This window comes from Homo sapiens, chromosome 2 (assembly GCF_000001405.40).
Source record: "Homo sapiens chromosome 2, GRCh38.p14 Primary Assembly".
Taxonomy (NCBI): domain Eukaryota; kingdom Metazoa; phylum Chordata; class Mammalia; order Primates; family Hominidae; genus Homo; species Homo sapiens.
In genome coordinates, this window is record NC_000002.12 from 83,087,794 (window position 1) to 83,096,270 (window position 8,477).

At 40.0% G+C, this 8,477-nt stretch overlaps 1 annotated feature.

Annotated features, from left to right (window-relative positions):
* Window positions 7,969–8,169: a silencer, noted in NCBI's record as "peak3771 fragment used in MPRA reporter construct". NCBI's record gives its function as "represses an SCP1 promoter by STARR-seq MPRAs in K562 erythroleukemia cells {active_cell/tissue: K562}" and the evidence as "EXISTENCE:reporter gene assay evidence [ECO:0000049][PMID:32103011]".

Here is an 8,477-nt window from a genome sequence, read left to right on the forward strand (position 1 = left end):
CATTTGGTCTAATGGACACCCCTGCCTATAAAAGCATCCTAGAAGGTAAGTACTTTAGATAAAGGACATTGGCATCCCAACAAAAGTTGAGTTCTATTAGTTACAAGAAAAATGAGGAAAGAAGGAAAAATAATAGTATGTTAAAATAGATTTTTTTTTGTTTCTGTAGGGTTTCAGGGATGTTATTTTATATGAGAGATTTTCAACACGGCTATGTTAAAGAAAATGTGGATAAACAGTGTCAAAAATAAATCACAGTAAAATCATATGTGAAATGAGGGAAGGACAAACCTTACTCAGATTATGTAGAGTGATCAGAATTATCTAGAAGATCAGCACACTGAAATATAGGCATGATATTTCTGGGTAAAATAAGGAAGATTATTAGTATAAATTATCAAGACAGTGCCAAGAATGCTAGGCATATTGATACTGGAAAATTATCATGGTACAGACTTTTATAGGGGAGATAAGTAAGAGATGAGCAAGCTCTGGGATGTCCTAAACACAGACTCAAAATAATGCTTACTGATGGTCTATTATCTGCAAAGCTGTAAGTGTTGCTAATAAAGTTAGTCTTTTACTAGGTCACAGTTAAATTCAGGATCAGTTTTCAATATTGTGTGAATATACTGATCCCTTTATTTTTTACTTTACTTATATACCATATAAACTCCCATCCCAGCCCTTCCCCCTAGTAGATAATTTTCTGTTGAAATTGTGAGAGAATCCATGATAGCCCCATCAAAACCAAAAAATAAACAAAAAAAAATGAGCCTTTCATATACCAGTATAGGGATCAATAGAGAAAACTTTCCCCTTCTAGAGAATACATGAGCACAATATAAGCTGGAAAAATAGTACTCAGCGTTTATTGGTTTAGTTTCAATGGAGAGACTTTAGAAGACAGAGGTAGAGGTAAGTTTTACTACAGTCATTGATCTTTTACCTAGAACTTATCTAGAATTGCCCTCTGTCTAGCTGAGTACTGAACAGCATAAATAAATTAAAGAGGGAGGAGCCAAGATGGCCGAATAGGAACAGCTCCGGTCTACAGCTCCCAGCGTGAGCTACGCAGAAGACGGTTATTTCTGCATTTCCATCTGAGGTACCGGGTTCATCTCACTAGGGAGTGCCAGACAGTGGGCGCAGGTCAGTGAGTGCGCGCACCGTGCGTGAGCCGAAGCAGGGCGAGGCATTGCCTCACTTGGGAAGCGCAAGGGGTCAGGGAGTTCCCTTTCCGAGTCAAAGAAAGGGGTGACAGACAGCACCTGGAAAATCGGGTCACTCCCACCCGAATACTGCGCTTTTCCGACGGGCTTAAAAAATGGCGCACCACAGGATTATATCCCGCACCTGGCTTGGAGGGTCCTACGCCCACGGAGTCTCGCTGATTGCTAGCACAGCAGTCTGAGATCAAACTGCAAGGCGGCAGCGAGGCTAGGGGAGGGGTGCCCGACATTGTCCAGGCTTGATTAGGTAAACAAAGCATCTGGGAAGCTCGAACTGGGCGGAGCCCACCACAGCTCAAGGAGGCCTGCCTGCCTGCCTCTGTAGGCTCCACCTCTGGGGGCAGGGCACAGACAAACAAAAAGACAGCAGTAACCTCTGCAGACTTAAATGTCCCTGTCTGACAGCTTTGAAGAGAGCAGTGGTTCTCCCAGCACGCAGCTGGAGATCTGAGAACGGGCAGACTGCCTCCTCAAGTGGGTCCCTGACCCCTGAACAGCCTAACTGGGAGGCACCCCCTAATAGGGGCACACTGACACCTCACACGGCAGGGTACTCCAACAGACCTGCAGCTGAGGGTCCTGTCTGTTAGAAGGAAAACTAACAAACAGAAAGGACATCCACACCAAAAACCCATCTGTACATCACCATCATCAAAGACCAAAGTAGATAAAACCACAAAGATGGGGAAAAAACAGAAAAGAAAAACTGGAAACTCTAAAAAGCAGAGCAGCTCTCCTCCTCCAAAGGAACGCAGTTCCTCACCAGCAACAGAACAAAGCTGGATGGAGAATGACTTTGACGAGCTGAGAGAAGAAGGCTTCAGACGATCAAATTACTCCGAGCTACGGGAGGACATTCAAACCAAAGGCAAAGAAGTTGAAAACTTTGAAAAAAATTTAGAAGAATGTATAACTAGAATAACCAATACAGAGAAGTGCTTAAAGGAGCTGATGGAGCTGAAAACCAAGGCTCGAGAACTACGTGAAGAATGCAGAAGCCTCAGGAGCCGATGCGACCAACTGGAAGAAAGGGTATCAGCAATGGAAGATGAAATGAATGAAATGAAGCGAGAAGGGAAGTTTAGAGAAAAAAGAATAAAAAGAAATGAGCAAAGCCTCCAAGAAATATGGGACTATGTGAAAAGACCAAATCTACGTCTGATTGGTGTACCTGAAAGTGATGGGGAGAATGGAACCAAGTTGGAAAACACTCTGCAGGATATTATCCAGGAGAACTTCCCCAATCTAGCAAGGCAGGCCAACGTTCACATTCAGGAAATATAGAGAACGCCACAAAGATACTCCTCGAGAAGAGCAACTCCAAGACACATAATTGTCAGATTCACCAAAGTTGAAATGAAGGAAAAAATCTTAAGGGCAGCCAGAGAGAAAGGTTGGGTTACCCTCAAAGGGAAGCCCATCAGACTAACAGCGGATCTCTCGGCAGAAACCCTACAAGCCAGAAGAGAGTGGGGGCCAATATTCAACATTCTTAAAGAAAAGAATTTTCAACCCAGAATTTCATATCCAGCCAAACTAAGCTTCATAAGTGAAGGAGAAATTAAATACTTTACAGACAAGCAAATGCTGAGAGATTTTGTCACCACCAGGCCTGCCCTAAAAGAGCTCCTGAAGGAAGCGCTAAACATGGAAAGGAACAACCGGTACCAGCTGCTGCAAAATCATGCCAAAATGTAAAGACCATCGAGACTAGGAAGAAACTGCGTCAACTAACGAGCAAAATCACCAGCTAACATCATAATGACAGGATCAAATTCACACATAACAATATTAACTTTAAATGTAAATGGACTAAATGCTCCAATTAAAAGACATAGACTGGCAAATTGGATAAAGAGTCAAGACCCATCAGTGTGCTATATTCAGGAAACCCATCTCACGTGCAGAGACACACATAGGCTCAAAATAAAAGGATGGAGGAAGATCTACCAAGCAAATGGAAAACAAAAAAAGGCAGGGGTTGCAATCCTAGTCTCTGATAAAACAGACTTTAAACCAACAAAGATCAAAAGAGACAAAGAAGGCCATTACATAATGGTAAAGGGATCAATTCAACAAGAAGAGCTAACTATCCTAAATATATATGCACCCAATACAGGAGCACCCAGATTCATAAAGCAAGTCCTGTGTGACCTACAAAGAGACTTAGACTCCCACACATTAATAATGGGAGACTTTAACACCCCACTGTCAACATTAGACAGATCAACGAGACAGAAAGTCAACAAGGATACCCAGGAATTGAACTCAGCTCTGCACCAATCGGACCTAATAGACATCTACAGAACTCTCCACCCCAAATCAACAGAATATACATTTTTTTCAGCACCACACCACACCTGTTCCAAAATTGACCACATAGTTGGAAGTAAAGCTCTCCTCAGCAAATGTAAAAGAACAGAAATTATAACAAACTATCTCTCAGACCACAGTGCAATCAAACTAGAACTCAGGATTAAGAATCTCACTCAAAGCCGCTCAACTACATGGAAACTGAACAACCTGCTCCTGAATGACTACTGGGTACATAACGAAATGAAGGCAGAAATAAAGATGTTCTTTGAAACCAACGAGAACAAAGACACGACATACCAGAATCTCTGGGACGCATTCAAAGCAGTGTGTAGAGGGAAATTTATAGCACTAAATGCCCACAAGAGAAAGCAGGAAAGATCCAAAATTGACACCCTAACATCACAATTAAAAGAACTAGAAAAGCAAGAGCAAACACATTCAAAAGCTAGCAGAAGGCAAGAAATCACTAAAATCAGAGCAGAACTGAAGGAAATAGAGAAACAAAAAAACCATTCAAAAAATCAATGAATCCAGGAGCTGGTTTTTTGAAAGGATCAACAAAATTGATAGACCGCTAGCAAGACTAATAAAGAAAAAAAGAGAGAAGAATCAAATAGACACAATAAAAAATGATAAAGGGGATATCACCACCGATCCCACAGAAATACAAACTACCATCAGAGAATACTACAAACACCTCTACGCAAATAAACTGGAAAATCTAGAAGAAATGGATAAATTCCTCGACACATACACTCTCCCAAGACTAAACCAGGAAGAAGTTGCATCTCTGAATAGACCAATAACAGGAGCTGAAATTGTGGCAATAATCAATAGTTTACCAACCAAAAAGAGTCCAGGACCAGATGGATTCACAGCCGAATTCTACCAGAGGTACCAGGAGGAACTGGTACCATTCCTTCTGAAACTATTCCAATCAATAGAAAAAGAGGGAATCCTCCCTAACTCATTTTAATGAGGCCAGCATCATTCTGATACCAAAGCCGGGCAGAGACACAACCAAAAAAGAGAATTTTAGACCAATATCCTTGATGAACATTGATGCAAAACTCCTCAATAAAATACTGGCAAACCGAATCCAGCAGCACATCAAAAAGCTTATCCACCATGATCAAGTGGGCTTCATCCCTCGGATGCAAGGCTGGTTCAATATACGCAAATCAATAAATGTAATCCAGCATATAAACAGAGCCAAAGACAAAAACCACATGATTATCTCAATAGATGCAGAAAAGGCCTTTGACAAAATTCAACAACCCTTCATGCTAAAAACTCTCAATAAATTAGGTATTGATGGGACGTATTTCAAAATGATAAGAGCTATCTATGACAAACCCACAGCCAATATCATACTGAATGGGCAAAAACTGGAAGCATTCCCTTTGAAAACTGGCACAAGACAGGGATGCCCTCTCTCACCACTCCTATTCAACATAGTGTTGGAAGTTCTGGCCAGGGCAATCAGGCAGGAGAAGGAAATAAAGGGTATTCAATTAGGAAAAGAGGAAGTCAAATTGTCCCTGTTTGCAGACGACATGATTGTATATCTAGAAAACCCCATTGTCTCAGCCCAAAATCTCCTTAAGCTGATAAGCAACTTCAGCAAAGTCTCAGGATACAAAATCAATGTGCAAAAATCACAAGCATTCTTATGCACCAACAACACACAAACAGAGAGCCAAATCATGAGTGAACTCCCATTCACAATTGCTTCAAAGAGAATAAAATACCTAGGAATCCAACTTACAAGGGATGTGAAGGACCTCTTCAAGGAGAACTACAAACCACTGCTCAAAGAAATAAAAGAGGATACAAACAAATGGAAGAACATTCCATGCTCATGGGTAGGAAGAATCAATATTGTGAAAATGGCCATACTGCCCAAGGTAATTTCTAGATTCAATGCCATCCCCATCAAGCTACCAATGACTTTCTTCACAGAATTGGAAAAAACTACTTTAAAGTTCATATGGAACCAAAAAAGAGCCCGCATCGCCAAGTCAATCCTAAGCCAAAAGAACAAAGCTGGAGGCATCACACTACCTGACTTCAAACTATACTACAAGGCTACAGTAACCAAAACAGCATGGTACTGGTACCAAAACAGAGATATAGATCAATGGAACAGAACAGAGCCCTCAGAAATAACGCCGCATATCTACAACTATCTGATCTTTGACAGACCTGAGAAAAACAAGCAATGGGGAAAGGATTCCCTATTTAATAAATGGTGCTGGGAAAACTGGCTAGCCATATGTAGAAAGCTGAAACTGGATCCCTTCCTTACACCTTATACAAAAATCAATTCAAGATGGATTAAAGATTTAAACGTTAGACCTAAAACCATAAAAACCCTAGAAGAAAACCTAGGCATTACCATTCAGGACATAGGCATGGGCAAGGACTTCATGTCCAAAACACCAAAAGCAATGGCAACAAAAGAAAAAATTGACAAATGGGATCTAATTAAAATAAAGAGCTTCTGCACAGCAAAAGAAACTACCATCAGAGTGAACAGGCAACCTACAAAATGGGAGAAAATTTTCGCAACCTACTCATCTGACAAAGGGCTAATATCCAGAATCTACAATGAACTCAAACAAATTTACAAGAAAAAAACAAACAACCCCATCAAAAAGTGGGCGAAGGACATGAACAGACACTTCTCAAAAGAAGACATTTATGCAGCCAAAAAACACATGAAAAAATGCTCATCATCACTGGCCATCAGAGAAATGCAAATCAAAACCACTATGAGATACCATCTCACACCAGTTAGAATGGCAATCATTAAAAAGTCAGGAAACAACAGGTGCTGGAGAGGATGTGGAGAAACAGGAACATTTTACACTGTTGGTGGGACTGTAAACTAGTTCAACCATTGTGGAAGTCAGTGTGGCGATTCCTCAGGGATCTAGAACTAGAAATACCATTTGACCCAGCCATCCCATTACTGGGTATATACCCAAATGACTATAAATCATGCTGCTATAAAGACACATGCACACGTATGTTTATTGCGGCATTATTCACAATAGCAAAGACTTGGAACCACCCCAAATGTCCAACAATGATAGACTGGATTAAGAAAATGTGGCACATATACACCATGGAATACTATGCAGCCATAAAAAATGATGAGTTCACGTCCTTTGTAGGGACATGGATGAAATTGGAAATCATCATTCTCAGTAAACTATCGCAAGAACAAAAAACCAAACACCGCATATTCTCACTCATAGGTGGGAATTGAACAATGAGATCACATGGACACAGGAAGGGGAATATCACACTCTGGGGACTGTTGTGGGGTGGGGGGAGGGGGGAGGGATAGCATTGGCAGATATACCTAATGCTAGATGACGAGTTAGTGGGTGCAGCGCACCAGCACGGCACATGTATACATATGTAACTAACCTGCACAATGTGCACATGTACCCTAAAACTTAAAGTATAATAAAAAAAAAAAGAAATTAAAAAAAAAAAAATAAATAAATAAATAAATTAAAGAGGAACTCATAGGAAAAGAGAGCTCTTTTATGGCTACTGGTAGGACTTTTAGAAAAACTTTTGGTTTAATCATAGGATTTTGGCTCACATGATGAGGGCTACAGAAACCTCTTTTGGTTGGGATCTAGAGGAAGATAAGAAGAATGCTTTTGCTATTTGTGTCAAACTCAACTCTCAAGAAAATTCTGAAATAAACCTTGCTGACTTTTCCTTTTCCTTTACACTATGCCACCATTGAGCTAAATAGACAGCAGAATAAAAAAATATATCATGAAAACAATTCATATTGCCTCAGGAAAAAAAGCTACTTTGATACTGAATTAAAGTAACTGATTAAGGACAAAGAGAATTCAATACCCTTTACACCTTGCTATTTACAAACACAGGTTAACTAAATATTTCAGCCGAAGTGTGTGTATTTTAAAAAGGTACTGCTAGCATTCTTATTTATTTCCCATTAGGCATTACAGCTTATTATGTTTTCTACAACACACTCTTTGGAATAAATAATAATATTGAAAATGGTTTTGGTCAATGCATTGTAAAGTTTAAAATTTTTGTTTTAAAATAAGACTTCTGCTTCCAACAAAGATGGAATAAAGTGATAATATTTAGCTGGCTACCTGAAACAACCGTGAAAAAACACAAAGTTCAAAAGATGAAACATGGCCAAGTGTGCTGGCTGTTGCCAGTAATCCTAGCTACTCAGGAAGCTGAAGTTGGAGGATCACTTGAGGCCCGTAGTTTGAGACCAGAAGTTTGAGACCAGCCTGAGTGACAGAGGAAGACCTTGTCCCTTAAAAAAAAAAAATTAAAACAAAAAAGCTGAAACAACATTTTTCAAGACACTGGACTTCAGGCAAGAAAAGACAGTGACCCCTGAGAAATAGAAAATAAATTAGACGAGCCTTATAATTGCAACAGGGAGCTTTCAGTCCACAGTGCAAAAGGGGAAATATAGGTCAGGAATAGCCAACATCTTGACTTACAGAGACAGATATGGGAGTCTGGGGAGACCAAAGCGGCTACAGCTGGCAAGACAGATTACCTGGGAGAAGGGAAATGCAAAGAAAAAAACCTAGGAAAATCATCAGCAGATACACCTTAAATATTCAGCAGAGTAATGAGCAATGCATGAATTGGAGGAAACTAGAATGTGAAGAATATTTGCTCTTCGAGAATAGTGCCAGTTCCCACTATCCAAATTGGAAAAATATATGATTCGAGGGGCATAATTCATGGAGTAGGGTACTTAGAAGAGTTTTGCCATGGAAATAGAGAATAGATAGCCCAAGACTAAAGAAGCTTCTGACCCTATCTAATATTAAAAGCAAGCCTTTAGAGGACAAAGTATTTCCAAGAACCTTAACTACATTTGGAAACAAAGATCAGGAATAT